This window comes from Homo sapiens, chromosome 12, assembly GCF_000001405.40.
Source record: "Homo sapiens chromosome 12, GRCh38.p14 Primary Assembly".
NCBI classification, from domain to species: domain Eukaryota; kingdom Metazoa; phylum Chordata; class Mammalia; order Primates; family Hominidae; genus Homo; species Homo sapiens.
Window position 1 is genome coordinate 95264267 of NC_000012.12, and position 21666 is coordinate 95285932.

Here is a 21666-nt window from a genome sequence, read left to right on the forward strand (position 1 = left end):
CTACTTTACTAACTTTCCTTTACCCACAAATATAATCAAGCAACTATGAGACCTATAAATGATTTTAGAGTTTACTATTAACATACAAAAGTATATGATGAGATTTTGCTTTATGGTATTGCCAGTATTATCTGAAAAGTAAAGGATTCTAAAGGAAATTAGGGCAAATATTTATTTATTTACTTATTTTTTGAGACAGGGTCTCTGTTGCTCAGGCTGGAGTACAGTGGTGTGACCTCAGCTCACTGCAGCCTCAGCCTCCTAGACTCAAGTGATCCTCCTGCCCTAGCCTCCCAAATACCTGGGACTATAGGAGCATGCCACCATACCTGGCTAATTTTTGTATTTTTTTCAGAGACAGGGTTTTGCCATGTTGCCCAGGCTGGTCTTGAATTCCTGAACTCAAGTGATCTGCCTGCCTCAGCCTCCCAAAGTGCTGGGATTACAGGCACGAGCCCCTGCACCTGGCCAGGGCAAATATTTAATAAGAAATTGCATGTGATTTTCTTTGCAATATGATTATTATAACTCTTTCCAAATATTGCTGTTTTTCAGCTATTCTCAGACACATCCCCCTTATACTCCCCTCTTTCTTTTCTTTTCTTTTTTTTTTTTTTTTTTTTTGAGACAAGGTCCTGCTTTGCCACCCAGGCTGGAGTGCAGTGGCATGATCTCGGCTTACTGCAGCCTGCTCAAGTGATCCCTCCGCCTCAGCCTCCGAATAGCAGGGACTACGGATGCATGCAACCACACCCAGCTAATTTTTAAATTTTTTGTAGAGAAGGGGTCCTACTGTGTTGCCCAGTCTGGTCTCGAACTCCTGGGCTCAAGTGGTCCTCCCACCTGTGCCTCTCAAAGTGCTGAGATTACAGGCGTGGGCCACTGTGCCTGGCCCCCTCTTTCTTATATATACACATTTTCACCAAAGCATTCATTGCTTTAAAGATGTATTTTAGTCTGTTAGACTTGCAATTGATATGAATTTTAAAATGTGTACATATTTTTGTTTCAATTAAAGTAGTATAAAAGTACAAACCTTGTCCATATCATGGTCTGTGGTAAGTATGTATATTCCAAATTGATGATGATTATTTAAAATTAGAGGACTTTATTCAAACAATTACTCATCAAGTGTGTATCATTTCTAATTGGAAAAATGTGTACATATTCTTGATCTAGTATGTGTTTCTATGCAAATAAAGTTTGATTTTAGGAAAAGGGATTTATAATATCTCTGAAATAGTATTTTTACTTTTAAATCTATAAAATCGGATTTTAAAATCTCTAATTTGCTTTTTAGGTTAAGGATTCCATATATTTTTTATTTTTTTAAAAGTGGTTTCAGAAGATGCCTATTGTTATATTTATTATCATTTTTATTAATGTCATAAAGAGAAATGTAGCAATTTCTTTGGGGTCACAGAAGAGGGGTTGGCTAAAATTAGAAGTAACTATTTCAAGCTTTTGGCAAAATCTTCACAGAAGACTTGGTGTCAGAGGAAGGTTTGAACGCATAGGATTTTGGTATTAAATATAAGATGACACCAGGCAAAAAGGAAAGAGAAGGAAGAGATGTTCTGGTTTACAATGCTTGGAGTTGAGGGCTGGGATGCTGATCTGACTCAAGACATGTTCTGGGCCAACTTCTGAAGGATTTTGTAGACTGAGCTAATGAAGTTTGATTTTATCCTGCAGGCGATGGGTGGTATTTCTAGCTCCAGATTCTGTATATGTAGGAAATGTAGAGGCCTTTTGTTGGTTCTGCCCAGCATTCAGTCAGCACCTACAGAGAATTTGAGTTTCTTTTGTGAAATCAGCTTTACCTGATTCCAGAAGATACCTGTTTTCTTACTTAAATTTATCAGCTCAGATGTTAATACCTAAGCACTATTGTCTAGTTGCGAGGTATTTTAAAAATCTTTCACATCACCTTCTTAAATGTCATATATTTTTAAGTTATGCTTTACAAAGAAGCTAGCATTTTATTTATTTAGTAAACCTAAATTTAAATTTTGTTTTTACTGATTAAAGTAATTCATCTTTCTTTCTCTAATCTGATGCATATCATTTTCTTCCTTTCTTGTTCCCAGGGATCTCTCAATGCTATTTGCCTTCATTAGCTTGCTCGTTATGCTTCCCACTTGGTGGATTGTGTCTTCCTGGCTGGTATGGGGAGTGATTCTATTTGTGTATCTGGTCATAAGAGCTTTGAGATTATGGAGGACAGCCAAACTACAAGTGACCCTAAAAAAATACAGCGTTCATTTGGAAGATATGGCCACAAACAGCCGAGCTTTTACTAACCTCGTGAGAAAAGCTTTACGTCTCATTCAAGAAACCGAAGTGATTTCCAGAGGATTTACACTGTGAGTTCATTTTTTATTTTATTTCTTAAATGATTATTTTCTATTCCATAAAGGAGAATATTTATTACCTATTTTCATTTCTATGTTGCATTTATAGGAAAAAAAAGTGCTTTTCTCTTTAGTACTTACTAAAGTCAATTAACTGCTAAGTGAAGGAATAAATACATTATGTGCTAGATTTAATATGTAGTATGATTCTGCCTATCTGCTTTGAGGAACTAAAGTACTTTGGAGATCATGATTATTTCTGTATGTTACCATGTGATTATATGAGATAATATATAGAGAGTGTCTGATACTGAACCTAACGTGCAGTAGTTACCCAGTAAATGCTTGCTCCCATTACTCCCTTTCAAATGCCTTCTTTATGATAGACGTATCTGCTATAAATGCATTTTGAAAACTCTTGACATGTACTAATAACTGTTCAGGTAAATATTAGCAGATATTATAGCACTGATACTCTCAGAATATCATGCAAATAGTGATGTTTTCCATTCTTACAGGAAATTAAATATTCACCAGTCTAGCTGTAAGTATATTAAGCTGTAGGATATATTGACTACTTAATCTATTATTAAAGGGAAAGTTACATTTATTGAGCACCAACTATATTCCATATACTATGCTAGTCACTTTTGCATACAACTAAAGGCATAGAATTATAAATGGTAAATATTCATATCCATTCCATCTGATTCTAAACCCGGCTTGCAGTACACTGGACACCTGCCAAACACTAACAGATGACAGTTGTGTGCTAGTATATTTAATAATTTATATAACCTATATAACTTTTGCAATCTATAGGTGGGGGAAAGTAAGCATATGGTGAAGAACATTCATAGCTCTTAATTAGTCGTATCTAGAAAATCATGAAAAGAGGGAGTGAAGAACCTCTGGTAGCCATCGCATCCTTCACTCTGTTCTGCTCTAGAACATTACACAATCTTGAGATAAACACTGTTTCTAAAAAATCATGGAATAGAGAAATGGAAGAATCCCAGTAGTTATCTTGTTCTTTACTCTCTTGTGTTCTACACACAATCCCAAGACATAAGATGGATTTTATAATTTCTCTTTCTTCTCAATCAAAGTATAAAAGTCAGCCAGGCACAATGGCTCACACCCGTAATCCCAGCACTTTGGGAGGTCGAGGCATGAGGATCACTTGAGCCCAGGAGTTCAAGACTAGCCTAGGCAATCTAGCAAAACCCCATCTCTACAAATAATAAAAAATTAGCCAGACGTGGTGGCACACACCTGTAGTCCCAGCTACTCGGGAGGCTGAGGTGTGAGGATTGCTTAAACCCCAGGAGGTTGAGGCTGTAGTGAGCCAAGATTGTGCCACTGCACTCCAGTTTGGGCAACAGAACTGGAGACAACAGATTCTGTCTAGGTTGGGCAACAGACTTGGTCTCAAAAAAAAAAGTATAAAAGTTCTTAGCATCTGTTGATTTTTGTCGTTGCATTAGTTGAAGTCTACTTCTTATTGACTTAAAGGATAGCACGTTTTTAAGTTGTTTAAGTGTCAAATTTTAAAAGTTTAAAAAAATCATGCTTAAAATAAGTAATATTTCCGGCCGGGCACGGTGGCCCACACCTGTAATCCCAGCACTTTGGGAGGCCGAGGCGGGCGGATCACGAGGTCAGGAGATCGTAGCTATCCTGGCTAACACGGTGAAACCCCGTCTCTACTAAAAATACAAAAAGAAATTAGCCGGGCGTGGTGGCGGGTGCCTGTAGACCCAGCTACCCGGGAGGCTGAGGCAGGAGAATGGCATGAACCCGGGAGGCAGAGCTTGCAGTGAGCCGAGATCGCGCTACTGCACTCCAGCCTGGACGACAGAGCGAGACTCCGTTTCAAAAACAAAAAAAAAGTAATAGTTCCTTTTTATTTTATTGAGAGGACTTACTGGTTGAACAAAGTGGCTTTGTTCAACTAATGGTTAGGCGTGTATAGAGGATTCTGTGCCTTGTGTCATTTTCCAACTTTATCTGTCCCCATGGAATTTGCACGAAGAGGTAAAGTGGGCCAGTTAGACATGATTTACCTTCCAGATTATGACTTCTACCCATTCAGATGACAGACGAAGAGAAGTATTGGAAGAAATTGTGCTTCCTTTGTCTCTATCTAACTGGATAATGGGTTGAAAAATGAATAATAAGTCTTGAATCATAATTTTTTAGACATTTTCAAAATTAGACAGTTTTTAAAACTGATTTAGTAAAATGGAGCACAAGCAGTAGTGCCATATATTGAAATCATGAATGCTGTTTTGTTTCTGACTCAAATTGTCCTCTCTCACAAATAATTGAAACCTTTTTTGCCTTCATTCCCTTGTCTTAACATAAGCCTGTCAGTCATCATCCTCTGCTTTTTATAGATTTTTTAAAATTTGGTTTTTATAGATTTTTAATACCTGAATACATTTTAGTATGGTTTAACATTTTTAAAGTTTTGAGTTAGGTGTGTTGTTTTATAGCTTTGTGTTATAGTATAAGCAATTTACAAATGCCAATATTTTGTTTTACTGTTGGGAAAGATTACTGGTTAGGTGAAAAAATTTATCTGATAACCAGGTATTTACTCATATATACTGTAAGTTATGAAATGTAATACATTGTATGTCATTGTTACAAATTAGGTACTCCCCATTAATCTTATGGGAAGTGCCATGAAATGTGCTTCCTCTTGAACAGCTTTGAGAGTAGCTATGCTACTATGCAGTAACCCTTACTTTGCCTTTCTACTTGTATTCCCCTGTTGGCCACTGGTCCTGTTATCTTTCCACGTCCCCTACTTCATTTTGAGTAGGTAAGTGCCAGTGGCAGCAGGTGGGTAAGTAATTTTACCCTACTTTTATGAATGTACAGAATGTATTTCTATACAGTATTTTTTCTGTACAAGTGACCAAAATATGATCAGTGAACATATGTGATGAACGTATGTAAATGTATATTAAGAATTTAAAAGTGTTTATAATTAAGGTCTTCATACTTCCTATGGATATAGGTTTTGAAAACTGAATATAAAGTAGCTCTTCTCTAATATATGTTAGCAAGCATAGTGTCTATGTAAAAAAGATGTGGATTCTTAATAAATATTTCTACATTTCTGTTATATCTCAGCCAGAATCCATTGTTTCCCCACATCAGAGGAAGCCTTTGCTCTTTGAGATGTTAATTTTTTGTCTTTTTTTTAGTGGTTGTCTATATATACATATATATATATATCTAGTCACAGAAATGACTATTTTATGAGACCTGAGTTGACATATGTATAATCATTTTCTAGTGAAGATCATGAAAGAGGAATTTGTTTTCTACATTTAATAGAATTGTGGATTTAGGAAACAAAAACTTTAGGACACCTGTACAGTTGTATCACATTTTACTTTTCAAGTTTGCTTGACAGGGTCAGTGCTGCTTGCCCATTTAATAAAGCTGGACAGCATCCAAGTCAGCATCTCATCGGTCTTCGGAAAGCTGTCTACCGAACTCTAAGAGCCAACTTCCAAGCAGCAAGGCTAGCTACCCTATATATGCTGAAAAAATATCCTTTTCTGTTTATATATGAAACTAAGCAATGTTTCTGGAGTCCTGAATATAGATATTATAGTTGTATCCTGTGAAAGTTTACTGTAAAGTGAGATTGCCTATTTTGAAGCTAATTTCCATCATCAATTCTATGTTAAAACTGGAAATGCATTCCTGGGGGAATGACAATAACAGACAGGAAGAAAGTTCTGTTCTTCTGTGACTGCTTTTTAAACAAGGAAAAAACTTGAAGTCTCTTCCTTTACTCATCCAAAGAATGAAGTCGAAAGAGTCTGGCTTTGCTAGGTCTGACATTTTAAACAAATTTCTCAACATGGCAGATTTGCATCATGGCATGTTAATAAACTGGCAACTGGAAATCCTTCCCTTTTCAAAAAAACAGGTTCTAGGAGCAGAATGGCTAAGTTCAAACACTGGCTGTATCAGTTACTTCCTAAGTGACTTTAAGCAAGTTTCTTAACCTCTCTATACCTTGCTTTAGTCGTGTTTAAAATGGCAATAATAACATCATCTTCCTTATTGGATTTTTGTTAGGATCAAATGAGTTAATCCATGTAAAGTGATCAGACATCATCTAGCATACAGTAAGCACCCAAAGACTGCATGACAATAAGTCTGTCACTTAAATTTATTAAAATAGGAAATTAGTTCTATTAGCCAGAAAATAAAGGCATATAAGAGCTTTATTTTAGTAAAGACATATAGATAAGTTAAATCCTGACTAAGTAGAAGGTAAAAAGACAACTTTGCCACTTCAGAATGCTGGGTATTGTAGCACTGATAAATATAATACTTAAAGTTTACAGGGTGCTTTATGTTCTATCATATCCTTATACAAACCTTTGTAGCTAGATTTTCTTGTCTCCATTTTATGAGAAAACTGAAATAGAGGTTAAGTGACTTGTGCAGTATCATACAACTACTAATGGATGAAGTTGTGTCTTGACTGTAGGACTTATGACTTGAAACCATTTTTCTCTCTCTTTCTCTCTCTTTCTATATATATATGGAAATTTCACATATATATGAAATGGAGAGAAAGCATTTTAATTTTTATTAAGAACTTTTCCATTTTATTCCCCATTGCCTAAATGCCGGTCTGCTATATGTCAGCCATTCTTCCAGGTGCTAGGAAAACTGAGTAAAAATATGTACTACCTACTTCTAAAGACTTTTGAATGTGATCAATAGAGAAATCAGTATTCATAATATTATATAAGTGCCGTGGGTGCCTTCCAACATAGCAGGGCAACATACTTGGTTTATGGAGTCAGAGAATGCTTTCAGGGAGGTGACATCTAAGTTGAGCTTCAGAGAATGAATAGAAGTTGGCCATGAGGATAAGAGTCTGCATTCCAGATAGAAGGAAGCAAAAACATATGGAAAGAAATAGAGATATGACAGTGTGGCATGTGAACTGTTGGTCATTCAGTGAATATTTATGGAGCACAGACTGCCAGGCAATATGCTAATCACTAGACGTACAGTGGTAAACATAATAGACATGATCCCTGCCTTATGGAGCTTGTAGTTCAGTGTAGGGTAGGGAGTGAGAGGGTTAGCCTATCAAAGACTACAGACTGTATGAGTTCTTTGTGCCAGTCATTTTTCTAGAAACTGGGGACCTGGCAGTGAACAAGATAGACAAGATCCTTATTCTCGTGGAGCTTACCTTCTAGTAGATGAAATAATCAATAAAATATGGGCTTGGTGCAGTGGCTCATGCCAGTAACCCCAGCACTTTCAGAGGCTGGCTTGAGCCCAGGAGTTTGAGACCAGCCTGGGCAATATAGTGAGACCTTGTCTCTTAAAAAAAAAATTCTTTTAAATTAGCTGCATGGTGGCACACACCCGCAGTCCCAGCTACTTAGGAGGCTGAGACAGCAGGATTCCTTGAGCCCAAAAGGTCAAGGCGCAGTGAGCTGTGTTTCAGCCACTGCATTCCAGCCTGGGCAACAGAGTGAGAGCCTGTCTCAAATAAACTAAAATAAAATAATAAATGGACAGATGGGATTCTTCAGATAAAATAGTTACTATGAAGGAAAAAAAAAACGGGAATAGGATAGAGAATGATCGGTGGGGTGCTGCTTTTTATTAGATGGTAAGAGAAGGCCTCTCTGAGGAGCTGACATTTAAACTGAGGTTTGCATGCTGAGAAAGATCTGGGGGAAGAGTATGCTGGTTAGATAGACCAGTGAGTAGAAAGATCTTGTGGCAGGAATGAATTTAGCATGATTGGAGTATAGAAAGAAGACCATCATGAGTTGAGCACAGTAAGTTGGAGGTTAGAGTATGAAATGAAACAGAGGTGGCCAGGGGCCAGATCATATTCTCCATATAAAAAACCTTAATAAATTTAACTAAAAAAGAATCCACCAATCATTTTGAGAAGACCAGTAAGATATGTAAACCCTTATTTGCCTGATCAAAGTAAAGAGCAGAAATATACAAGATTAGTAATGAGAACACAGTGATAACCATTGATATAGAAGACATTAAAATAACTGTAAGGGGATAGTATATGCAGCTGCACAGCAGCAACTTTGAACATGTAGGGGAAAATGGTTCTTTTTGTTTCTTTTGAGACAGTGTCTCATCTGTCACCCAGACTGGAGTGTGGTGGCATGATCATGGCTCACTGTAGTCTCATTCTCATGTGATCCTCCTGCCTTAGCCTTCCGAGTAGCTGGAACCAAGGCACACAGTACCACACCTGGCTAATTTTTTTGCATTTTGTAGAGACAGGGTTTCACCATTTTGCCCAGGTTGGTCTCGAACACCTGGGCTCAAGGGATCCCACATTGCTGGGATTGTTATAGGCATGAGCCACTGAGCCCAGCCTCATTTCTTATCAAAATAAAAATCTGCAAAACTGACCTAGGAAGAATTTTAAAACTTGAAGAGATTGGACATAGGATAAAGAATACTCAATTTTAAAAAGAAAACACCTGGTTTATATGTAGACAATGCAAAATATGAAACTATTTTTAAAAAACAATGATAGAGTTCTTAGTGCTCTAATGTGGATCTCCAAGTTATATTAAGTGAAAAAAAAACACAAAGTGCACGGATTGGTATTTATTGTATCCTTCAATTTGTGCATAAAAGGGACTGTGTGTTTATACAGGGATAAATATGTATGTATGTATTTATGTACATGCATGCATATATACCTACGTATCTCCAGATACACATTTATATTTGAATTTGCTCTTATGTATGTATGCATAAACAATCTTAGAAGGTACTGGTAAATGGAATTGCCTTTGCATTTGGATAGTGGAACTACATGGCTAAGGAATAGAGGTGGAAAGTAGTTTTTGCTGTATCCCTTAATACCTCATGAATTTTGAATCCTGTGAATATACTACCTATTCAAAAACAAAGTGAATTTAAAATTTTTTAACTACCAGATCCAGATGGTTTTATAGTTAAAAAAAATTTCAGACTATAGAAAAGGTTAGAAAGTTTCCCTATATCATTTTATTTATGAAAATACTGTAATCTCAATACCAAAACATGTTGTATTACAAAGAATAAAAACCAGTTGTATTACAAAGAATATAGACCCATCTCATAAGTGGAGAAACAAAATGTTTAAATGGAATATTTATAAATTTAATATTGGATTGTATCAAAAGATTATTATAATATGACCAAATAGGAATATGCTAGAAATGCAAAGATGGTTCACGATCAATAATTATTTAGAAAAATAATTAAAAGGAAAAATCATTATTGATTTTGATGTGTCTGTAAGGATGAGGGCAGAGGAAACCTAACAGTAGTCTATGTCAAACAAGCTAGATAGAACAGGCCTGGTGCCACTTATATCAGTCTGTGTATTTCAGATAACGTTCAACTAATAATGTCCTGCAGTACGCAGACTGAGAGGAAAAGAATATTTACTATAGCATAGTGAGGGCCCTGAACCATGACACAGTAAAGTGCACAATACAGCTACAAATGGTAGGTGTCAAAAATAACGGAGCTGAGCGCAGTGACTCACACCTGTAATCCCAGCACTTTGGGAGGCTGAGGCGGGCAGATCACTTGAGGCCAGGAGTTCAAGACCAGCCTGGACAACATGGCAAAACATCATCTCTAGAAAAAAATACAAAAATCAGCTGGGTGTGGTGGCGCATGCCTGTAATCCCAGCTACTCGAGAGGCTGAGACATGAGAATTGCTTGAACCTGAAAGGCCGAGGTTGCAGTGAGCCGGGTTGGTGCCACTGCACTCCAGCCTGGGAGACAAAGCAAGACTCCATCTCAAAAAAATAAATAAATAACGTATCACTTTAACCCTTTTGAAGACTTGAACTGTTAATTTTTTAGACATTAAAAATTGTATCCACAAGTATCCAAGATATCTGAGGTATTATGTTAATATATTAGATACTTAAAATTAATTTGTGTTTAAAAACTGCTGTAAACCTCCTCATCCAAAAGTTCAGAATAAAGATTAGGGAATGTGATATAGGACAATTTCACTGTATCTTTTATGCTTTCATGAAAAGGCTTTGTTGATTGCCTTAACCTAATTTAACCTACCCCCTGAACTCTGAGAGTGACAATGTAACCAACTACATCTGTGTGGTGCCTTTTAAAGAGCTGGGCCTTGGACTTAGTGAAGAGCAGATTTCAGAAGAGGAAGCACATAACTTTACAGATGGCTTCAGCCTGCCTGCATTGAAGGTAATCCATTTGTGTAAGGGAAGGGCTGAAGAAAAAATAGATGCACTTGGATTGTGTCTATGCTTTCTGAATGTAAATAGTGCGTTTGTTCCACTCATTGTTTGCTGCATACCATCATCATAAATGCACGGGTGATGTTTGTAACTCTGTCTTTAAGAGCCGAGAGCATAATAAAGATTGGAAGAGGAGATCCTTAGATTTTGACGTCCAAATACTTAAAATGCTTAAAGAAATGCCTTAAATTAGAGTTTGGAGATAAGTGAATTTACTTTAATTGGAGGCCAACGTGAGTGATTTTATAACTAGCCATTTGTTTCAACAAACATGGATAATGGGTTATCTCCAAAATTCTTAAGTTTTTTTTTCATACATCAAAAGCCACATGAAAGGATACATTTAGCTACATAGAAATTAAACTTTTGGGCTGGCCGGGTGGCTCACGCCTGTAATCCCAGCACTTTGGGAGGCCAAAGCAGGCAGATCACCTGTCACCTGAGCTCAGGAGTTCGAGACCAGCCTGACCAACATGGTGAAACCCCACCTCTACTAAAAATACAAAAATTAGCTGGGTGCAGTGTCACATGCCTATGGGAGGCTGAGGCAGGAGAACCCGGAAGGCAGAGTTTGCAGTGAGCTGAGACCATGCCATTGCACTCCAGCCTGGGTGACAATAGCAAAACTCCATCTCAAAAAAAAAAAAAGTAAACTTTTAACTTCAAATAATGCATACTTCAAATGCAAACAAGCTCAAGAAAAATTACAATGATTTATAACAAAGAGTTTTAATTTTTTTTTTTTATGCAGAGCACTCTAAAGTGTCTAAGATCTATAGAAGATAAGTTGGGTGCATGAACTGACAGTTCACAAAAAAAGAAACACAGGCTAGTCCCAGTGAGGTTGTATTTTACAACGAATTGATCACAACCAGTTATAGATTTCTTTGTTCCTTCTTCACTCCCGCTGCTTCATTTGACTAGCCTAAAAAGAAAAAACAAGAAAAGAAGAAATACAAATGGCCAATAAATATGATAAAATTTTTCATTTTAGTAATGAAAGAACACAAATAAAAATAATAAGCCGACCATTTTGCCAAGTATATTGAAAGTTGGTAATTTCATTATCACTGAAGATTCAGGGAGACCTCACACACCAATGGTGAAAGTATAAACTGGTTCACTTTAGCAGTGAATACCAATCTTCATACAGGTGTATGAAGCAAAATTGCTTTATTCTAGCAATTTTAATTTGCCCTTACAGATTTATCTCAGAAAGTAACCAAAGATATACCCAAAGTATGTTCATGACATTAGTGTAGCAGCCAACATTGGAAACAAATTTTTTTTGTTTTTCTTTTTCTTTTAATTTTTTTCTTTTTTTTTTTTTTTTTTTTTTTTGAGACAGAGTCTCACTCTGTTGCCCAGGCTGGAGTACAGTGTGGCTCAATCACAGCTCACTGCAGCCTCAACCTCCCCAGGCCTCAGGTGATCCTCCTACCTCAGCCTCCCGAGTAGCTGGGACTACAGTTACATGCCTCCACACCCGGCTAATTTTTGTATTTTTTGTAGAGACAGGGTTTCACCGTGTTGCCCAGGCTGGTCTAAAACTCCTGAGCTCAAACTATTTGCCCACATCAGCCTCCCAAAGTGTTGGGATAACAGGCATGAGCCACCATGCCCAGCCTCCAGTAGTATTTTTAAGACATTGATCCAAATGTCTTAAGTTCCTACTAAGTATTTAGTAAGCTCTCTTTAGATGTTTCTTTGTTTTTAGTTTTTAAAACTTCCCTTGATACCGTGAAAATTAGTGCAAGTATTGTTGTTAGCATTTATCAAGATCCATTTTGTTTTGAGACTGTATTGACTTCCATATCTTTTACATTTTCTAAATCAACATAAATGTTCTAATAATCTTGTTTGTTTTCTTTCTTTCCTATTACGTAAAATTTGCTTTGGCTTATTCCTACTCCCCTTCTAACCCATCTCAATAAATGGCACCACAAAAAACCTGGACACCATCTTTCTTGTCCCTCTTTTTGCCCACTCACATCCAGTCTGTTAGCAGATTCTTATGTCACTTCTACCTTGAAAATGTATTTTAAACCCATCCACTTTTTTCTATATCCACCCCCGCCCCCGCACCATCCTAGTCCCAGCCACCATGCTAGTCCCAGCCACCATCATTTCATACTTAGGCTGCTGCAGTACTTTCCTCAGTTATCTAAAGTTATTTGTTTCAGAATGCAACTTGACATGTAAAGAACCTTTTTAATGATTTATCCTTTGAATTTGTAATTCCCCTTCTACAAACTGCAGGAAATTATTTAAAACATAGTTAAACTTTATATACCAAGCTGCTTATTCACTTTGTGTTTATAATAGTGCACAATGGAACACTGCCTGAAAGTTCAAAAATAGAGGAATGGCTGTGTGAGTCATGCCAGAGCCACATGGTGAACCATTGTGTAGCAGCTACAGCTTGCCCGTGAAAATTCTGTAAAAACTTGGAGAAACATCTGTTGCCAGTGAAACAATCAGGATACATAAGTGTATATGCAATATGTCCACAACCCTGTTTAAAAAAAAAAATGAGGAGAAAATACCAAGATATATATAGCTACTCTTTGGGGTGGTGGGACTATAGATACTTTCACACCCTTTCGAATTTAATATCCTAACCTTGCTTTATTCTTTAAGGAAAATAAAGATTTTTTTCAAAGTACAATTTAAGAGATTCTTAATGTGGAAAATGGAGCAGACCTGTGTTTATATTTTAGCCCTGACTGACTAGCCATTTGCCTTTGAATAAGTTATTCTTTGAACTTATGTCACCTGTGAAAAGGAGTTACCATCCCTGCCTTATAAGGTATTAGATTAAATGAGAAGACATATTAAATACCTAGAACAGGGCTTGACATATAATGGGTACCCCCAAATGGTAATAGCTGTTATTCTTTAAGAAGGACTTGGAGAAAGAATTATAGTATTTCATTTCCTTTTAAATTACTTTTTGTTAACTCATCAAGATGCCTTGGAGATTTATTTCTTTATGCTGTTGATGTACTGTTTTTAAAAGCTTATTAAATCCTGAATTGTACTCTAGCTTAAGTATAGGCAGCAAAGAGAAGTTGTGGACCCTGTGGAGTCAGATTTTCCAGGTTTCACTCTAGCTCCGTTATTTGACTACTGTGTGGTCCTGAGCAAATCATTGTTTCTGTGTTTATTAAAATGGGATAATTGCAATGCTTGCCTCCAAAGGATTAGATGTTTGTCAGTTCAGTGCCTGGTGTAGAGTAAGCAATTAATGAATGTTAGCTGATTTTTAAAATTCTATCTGATATGGCCTGCTCTGAAATGTGAGACTTGTTCTCTGTTGCTGTATCCCCATCCTACCTTCCAACAATGGTGATTATAGCTAGATTCCTTTTGCTCACTCACAGTGTTTTACAAATCAAACTATAATAGTATTTTTATATTTCTTTTATTTTTACATATAACTAACCTGTAACCAAACTCAATGATTGTGTTACAGTTACCACATTTATCAGGCTCTGAAAGGAGCCTTATCTTGAGGAGCTCTATAGACTTTGCAAACTGTTGAAAACCCCTGTAATGTTCAAAGACTGTGTATTACCCCCTTCTGTAGTTACCACTGTATCGTTATTCAGATAAGAAATTTAAAAATAGATTTTGTAAGTTAAATTTTTAAAAGTGTGTTGCCCCCTCTAAAGAAAATACATTTTGGATTTATTTTTTATTGTTCCCGTATCTTCCCTCAGGAAAGTTTAGTGATAGTAAGTATTGCACCTTTAGAAAGAAAAGCAACCTCCAAATTGTAGCCTGAGGAGACATAAATAAAATACAGGTTGAATATTTCTTATCCAGGCGTGAGTCTTATCCAGGCCTGGCACCGTGGCTCACGCCTGTAATCCCAGCACTCTGGGAGGCCAAGGCGGGCGGATCAACTGAGGTTGGGAGTTTGCAACCAGCCTGACCAACATGGAGATACCCCGTCTCTACTAAAAATACAAAAAATTAGCCAGGTGTGGTGGTGCATGCCTGTAATCCCAGCTACTCGGGAGGCTGAGGCAGGAGAATCGCTTGAACCCAGGAGGCGGAAGTTGTGGTGAGCCAAGATCGTGCCATTGCACTCCAGCCTGGGCAACAAGAGCGAAACTCCGTCTCAACATAAATAAATAAATTAATTGATTAATTAATTTCTTATCCAAAATGCTTGAGACTAGAAGTGTTTTGGATTTTGGATTTTTTCAGATTTTGGAATATTTGCATTACACATTGAGGTTGAGCATCCCTAATCCAAAAATTTGAAATTTGAAATGTTCCAGTGAGCATTTCCTTTGACTGCCATGTTGGTGCTCAAAAAGTTTCAAATTTTGGAGCATTTGGGATTTCATTTCAAAGTTTTGGATTAGGGATACTCAATCAGTCCCTAGAACACAGTCCTTATCCCTCTCTTTTCCTTTAAGTTTTTAACTAGTTTTTTAAATTTATGAAGTCATCTGTTTCCTGCTCTAGAAAAAATAAATGCACACATTGTGAAATGCTTTAAATCAAAATTTTCTGTTTACCTATCAGCTATGGTTATCTCCTTATCCAGAGGAGCTTTCCTTATCCAAAGAACAAACAGGAAAAAAGAAATACATATTTCTGAGTTCTGGTTTAAGTGGGTAATGTGACAGTGATTGGATGACAAATTAGTCTTTAGAGACAAGGTCTTGCTCAGTCACACAGCTGGTGTGCAGTGGTGCAATCGTGGCTCACTGTAACCCTGAACTCCTGGGCTCAAGCGATCCTCCCACCCTAGCCTCCCAAGTAGCTGGAACAACAGTTATGTGCCACCATGCCTGACTAATTTTTAAGAAAATATTTTGTAGAGGCAGGGGTCTCACTGTGTTTCCCAGGCTGGTCTCCCAACTACTGGCCTCAAGTGAGCCTCCCAAAGTGCTGGGATTACAGGTGGGAGCCACTGCGCCTGGCCTTTAGTCTTTTCAAAAGCCGCAGTAAACTGTACCAACTTGATTCTTGCAGTTATCTTGACCCAACATGCTGGAATCATCCTTGTTAACTCTTTTTCTCTCAATACCAATCAGTCAAGAGATTGTGTTAGTTCTGCTTTCACAATGTATCCAGAGTCCATCTGCTGCTCACCTTCCACCACTAACCACCGTGGTCTCATTAATGCTTACCTGGAATATTGCAGTAACTTCCTTACTGGTTTCTCCACTTCTACTCTCATTTTCCTATAATCTCTCAACTCAGCAGACAGTATGGGCCTGTTAACGCATAAATCAGATTATGTCATGCTTCTGCTCAGAACCCTTCAGTGGCTCCCCATTGCTTACCTGGCCCCAGCCGTACTGAGCTTCTTGCTGTTCCATAGATCTACCCTGTGTGCTCCCACAACAGTACTTTGCATTTGACTTCCTGCTCCCTAGAACTCTCTTCCTTGATGATTATCTCATGGCTCACTTCCTTCAGGTGACACTTTTAGAGACCTCCCCAGCCAGCCCCTTCTCCTCTCTCCTTCGCGCTTTCTGTCTCTCTCCCCCCCTTTCATATGTGTACACACACATACACACACACACACACACACACTATTCCCCCCCTTTCATATGTGTACACACACACACACACACACACACACACACTATTCCTCTTCTTTGCTGTGTTTTTCCCATCAACCAAGAAACACTATCTTTCTTTTTCTTCCTCGACAATCATTACTGCAAAAGGGAAATAGTATCTTTTACTTGTAAATTATTATCTGTGCCCCTCTACTTGAATATAAGCTCCATCAGAGTGGGGACTCTTCATTTTTGCTCACTGCTGTTTATCTGCACCTAGAACAGTGCCTGGCACATCATGGGTGCTCAAGAAATCATTTCTGAATGAACGAACAAAAGAATAAAAATCATTGTAATCATAAAATTTAACAGTTGAATAAGAAGGCTTGCAAGTAAACTTGCAAGTCAAGAATCCCTAGATATCACATCTGTAGCAACTAGGAAATTAGGCCTTGGTCACTTTAAAAAAAAAATAAGTTAATGGTAAAATAGATATACATGAAATAATCTTAATTCATTATTGGCATAATTTTAAAATTCATTTACTAAAACCATCTAAATACTGTCTATTTTCATGGTTGTGAATAATTGGAATCTAAATTACCCAAAGTGGTTTCATCCTCTTTTTATTCCCTGCTACCTCTTGTTTCATACTACATTGTTTCCTCATGCATTTGTTTCGGAGATATTGTCCTCATCTTGAATAGGACTATATCTGGAGAAATATTTTGCTGCCAGGATTCAGGATGTATCTCAGGAACGGGCCTATGAACATATTCAGACTGCATTTTAAAAAAAAGAAGAAGAATGGGATTTATCCTGGCAACATACTGAGACCCCATCTCTAAAACTTAAATATTAGCTGAGTATGGTGGTACATGCCTGTGTTTCCCGCTACTCAGGAGGCTGAAGTAGGAGGATCACTTGAGCCCAGGAGTTTGAGGTTGCAGTAAGCTATGATAGTGCCATTGCACTCTAGCCTGGGCAACAGAGCAAGACTCTATCACAAAAATTAATTAATTAATTAATTAAAATAATGGGTTTTGCAATTTCTCATGTCAGACATTCCTGGAGTATTGATTTTTTTTTTTTTTGGATGGAGTCTTGCTGTGTCACCCAGGCTGGAGTGCAGTGGCGCCATCTCAGCTCACTGTAACGTCTGCCTCCCAAGTTCAAATGATTTTCCTGCCTCGGCCTCCGAAGTAGCTGAGACTACAAGCACATACCACCATGTCTGGCTAAATTTTGTATTTTTAGTAGAGACGAGGTTTCACCATGTTGGCCAGGCTGGTCTCAAACTCCTGACCTCAAGTGATCCATCCGCCTTCACCTCCCAAAGTGAGCCACTGCGCCTAGCCCTGGACTGATTTTTATGTTAATTTCTTAGCTAATTCCTAGGGCAAGGTAATAGTCTTATTTTGAAACCCAAGCTTTTGATCCATGTGACTCATTTCTTTGGAGAGAAAAAAATATATATATATATGTATATATATCCACTAGTCCTACTATCTTCTTTTCTCCTATGTGAAAATTTTTTTTAAATAATGAGTGAAGATTCACTTTTACTAAATTATCTCATTCCATCAACACTTCCCATCTAGGGCAGAACTGTAGTAAATTATATATTGATGTTACCTGCTGTATTGGAATCAGAGGTTCCCACACACATAATTTGAAATCATATTCTTGGCTAATCTTAAGGTAGTTTAAGTTCGGCTATATTTATTATTTAGGATAAAGTGCAAAATTTAAACCAGAAGTTAAGATAAACAAATTTATAGTTTGTTTTGAACACTGACCAATATTTTTATTGATCTAGTTCTTTTTTCTTTTTTCTTTAAGGTTTTGTTCCAACTCTGGGTGGCACAGAGTTCAGAGTTCTTCAGACGGTTAGCCCTATTACTTTCTACAGCCAATTCACCTCCTGGGCCCTTACTTACTCCAGCACTTCTGCCTCATCGTATCTTATCTGATGTGACTCAAGGTCTACCTCATGCTCATTCTGCCTGTTTGGAAGAGCTTAAGCGCAGCTATGAGTTCTATCGGTACTTTGAAACTCAGCACCAGTCAGTACCGCAGTGTTTATCCAAAACTCAACAGAAGTCAAGAGAACTGAATAATGTTCACACAGCAGTGCGTAGCTTGCAGCTCCATCTGAAAGCATTACTGAATGAGTAAGTTTAGAAATTATACCAAGAAAGGTCTCGGTAATTAGCAAGCTTCATTCGTGTACCATTGTGGTTGTTGGCTTGTGTCCTACCTAGAAAAAAGAAACAAAACTGAGGCATGAGCATGAAGGGTGATTTATAGCTATAAATATAGCAAAAAAAAAAAATAATTTATAAGTACTATAACTTGAGGGAGTTATTATTTATAGTTTTTACTTTTCCTTAGTTCAACAGAAAACTTGGAAAAGTAGGCTAAAAGCAGGTGTTGTTCATTCTCTTTGAGAGCTGAAATGGAGATGGTTATAAAGAATGAGTTTCTTTTAACTGTCTTAAGGTAGTGCTCTTAAACTGGAACCTGCAGTCCAATAGAAATATCTACCAGTACTGGAACAGTATATATGTTATATATAGTGGAAGAGTAACATATTGCTATTTTTCTAAATAAATTACAGCAGATCTGAAAATTTTTTTGTATCACAGGACAAGCTTTGTGGTCCCAGTTGAAGAGCAAAATGTAGAGTCTAGAGTTTATATTTGTTCATTTCCTACCTTGCATGAAATTGTTGGTATACTACCTTAATTCCTAAATTTTTATGTCCCACTTTGGTATACCTTTATCAGCTGAAAATACTATTTTCACATATTTGTACATGGAAGTTTTCAAGTTTAAAAATTGAATCAAGGCATTTAATTGAATACAGTCATTTCCAGTGAAATTTTTCTCTAACAGTTAAATACTCATCGTGTAGGACTGGATCAAATGAATGGTTGGGTTCAAATTGTGTTGGTAATCAGGAAGGTCCTAGGAATTTAAAGAGCTGACAAGATTGTAGTTGATGTACTTGACCCTGGGATACAAGGCAAGAAGTGGAATGGGGAAGGCAGTATTTGATTATGTAAATAAGAATGGGTCAAAAGGACTTGATACATCAGCAAAATCAAAAGGCTAAATCAGCAAATCAAAATCACTGGAATTAGGGAGGATAAGAGATACAAGGATAGGAACTTAAAGTCAGAAAGATATTTTTAGAAGCTAAGTTTTTACCCATCAGTTCAAGGCCTGAGTTGGGCTTGATATAAGGCTTGATATAAGGCTGATATAAAGATTATGGCATAGGAAAAATGAAGACACTATGAACTCAGGGTATTCCAGTGGTCTATATCTGCTGTTCTAAGAAAGCAGGTAAATGCTAACGAGGCTCTTAGCCCTGCCTTCTACAGGGAACTGGGCGATAAGGCCATCTCCACTTGAGTGGGTGGCAAAGGTTGGATTGTCCTCAAAGGAAAATAAGATTTCAGTGGACAGGTTGTAGGCAAAGCCAGAGCCTCCGAAGAAGTAAGTTTTGGCAATAGAATCAGAAATATACGGCGCATATTAGAATGCATTTGAGTGAGGGAAGATGGCTCAGGGAAGAAAGAGTGCTACACAAGGTAGACATGAACACAAAAAAGAGGAGCTTTGTACCATGAGCAGGAATTGTGGATTATGCATAGGAAGTTTTTGTCCTGTTTTAAAGTGTAATATTCTATACATGCTAATGTCTCTCACCTTTCTAAGTATTTTCACTAGAAAGTACACCAGTCACAAACCATCATATCCAATTTGCTCTGTAGTGCTGCTACATACAACTTTTTGAATTGTTAACTAAATAATTGTTTTGTGTTTCATATTTTAGAATGCTCTTTTTGTGTCTCACTCCTCTCCCCCTTGTGTTCTTTGCTGTTCCCACTCTCAGTGCCTCATGTGGAACCATATTGTCTCTTCCCTACACTAGGGCATTAATTTCTAACTGTTCTCCCCACCTCCAGGGTGTGTATGGCCAGATTAGTGTTACTGAGGCATATATTTGCTTTCTCACTTCACTGAAAATCTTGACTGGTTTCGGAGTCATAGCAGCTCAAACTAAAGTCCTTACAAAACATACTATAGAAGGGTTTGTCATAACCTGACTACAGTCTGTTTCTATCTTTAATTCTCATTCCTTTCCTTCAGTCCAGCCAAACTGTATAAATGCCTTTTCCCATGGTCCTTCTATAAGTTGGTGCAAAAGTAATTGCAGCTTTTGCCATTAAAAGTAAGGGCGGGCCAGGCGAGGTAGCTCACGCCTGTAATCCCAGCACTTTGGGATATGATGGTTTGTGACTGGTGTACTTTCTAGTGAAAATACTTAAGAAAGGTGAGAGACATTAGCATGTACACAATATTCCACTTTAAAGGCTGAGGATCACGAGGTCAGGAGATCGAGACCATCCTGGCTAACATGGTGAAACCCCATCTCTACTAAAAATACAAAAAAATTAGCTAGGCATGGTGGCAGGCGCCTGTAGTCCCAGTTACTCGGGAGGCTGAGGCAGGAGAATGGTGTGAACCCGGCAGGTGGAGCTTTCAGTGAGCCAAGATCGCACCACTGCACTCCAGCCTGGGTGACAGAGCAAGACTCTGTCTCAAAAAAAAAAAAAAAAAAAAAAAGTAATGGCAACAACCTCAATTACTTTTGTATCAACCTAATAGAACAAGCTTCCGGCCAGGCGCAATGGCTAACACCTGTAATCCTGATACTTTGGGAGGCCAACTAGAGCAGATTGCTGGAGCCCAGGAGCTGAGACCAGCCTAAGCAACATGGGAAACCCTTATCTCTACAAAAAAATACAAAAATTAGCCAGTCATGGTGGTACACGCCTGTAGTCCCAGCTGCTTGGGAGGCTGAGGTGGGAGGATCACCTGACCCCTGGAGGTTGAGGTTGCAGTGAGCCGAAATCACACCACTGCACTCTAGCCTGGGTGACAGAGTGAGACCCTGTCTCAAAAAATAAAAATAAAAAATAAAAAGAACAACCTTCCTCACCTTTTGTATATGGGCCCAAATTTTATCCATCCTTCAATGCTACCTCAAAAATACCTCTTCCTTAGTTGTTCCCCATCTGTCCTTGCAGTTGGTAGTAATTTTCCCTTCTTCTGATTTCTCATAACACTGTCTCTCTGTGGTATTATCCTTTTGTGCCTGTATTCAGCCCAGTTTTACATCTTACTAGCTTTGTGACTCTAGGCAAGTTTCCCCGACTCTCTGGGCCTAATTCCTTATTATCTGTAAAATGGAAATAAAATGGTAGTTCTAATTATTTATGATATTGTAGTCTTTTTCTTTTCTGATAAAGAAAGCAACTACAGAAAGCTTGTATTTATTTATTCAAAGTAACCAGTGCTATTGATGCAAAAAAGAAAAACCCAACAATTCTTCCAACACTGCTTTCAAAATGAGCATATAAAACTTGATTTTCATTAGAGTGTAGTTA

At 37.7% G+C, this 21666-nt stretch overlaps 1 protein-coding gene across 67 annotated transcripts in view; it reads left to right on the top strand.

Annotated features, from left to right (window-relative positions):
• VEZT (vezatin, adherens junctions transmembrane protein) overlaps positions 1 to 21666 on the top strand; it is an 84993-nt gene that overhangs the window by 46460 nt on the left and 16867 nt on the right. For 28 of the 67 annotated variants that reach the window (NR_038241.2, NM_001352096.2, NM_001352107.2 and 25 more), the window contains 4 exons: positions 2091 to 2366; positions 5785 to 5922; positions 10476 to 10623; positions 18047 to 18378. Coding sequence is in view for 55 of the 67 variants with exons in the window: in NM_001352096.2 (NP_001339025.1) it covers positions 2091 to 2366; positions 5785 to 5922; positions 10476 to 10623; positions 18047 to 18378 (894 nt within the window). In the remaining 12 variants the exon portion in view is untranslated. Of the gene's footprint in view, positions 1 to 2090; positions 2367 to 5772; positions 5923 to 10475; positions 10624 to 18046; positions 18379 to 21666 lie in introns of all 67 variants that reach the window. The other 39 variants (NR_038242.2, XM_047429108.1, XM_047429109.1 and 36 more) reach the window with 5 other exon arrangements.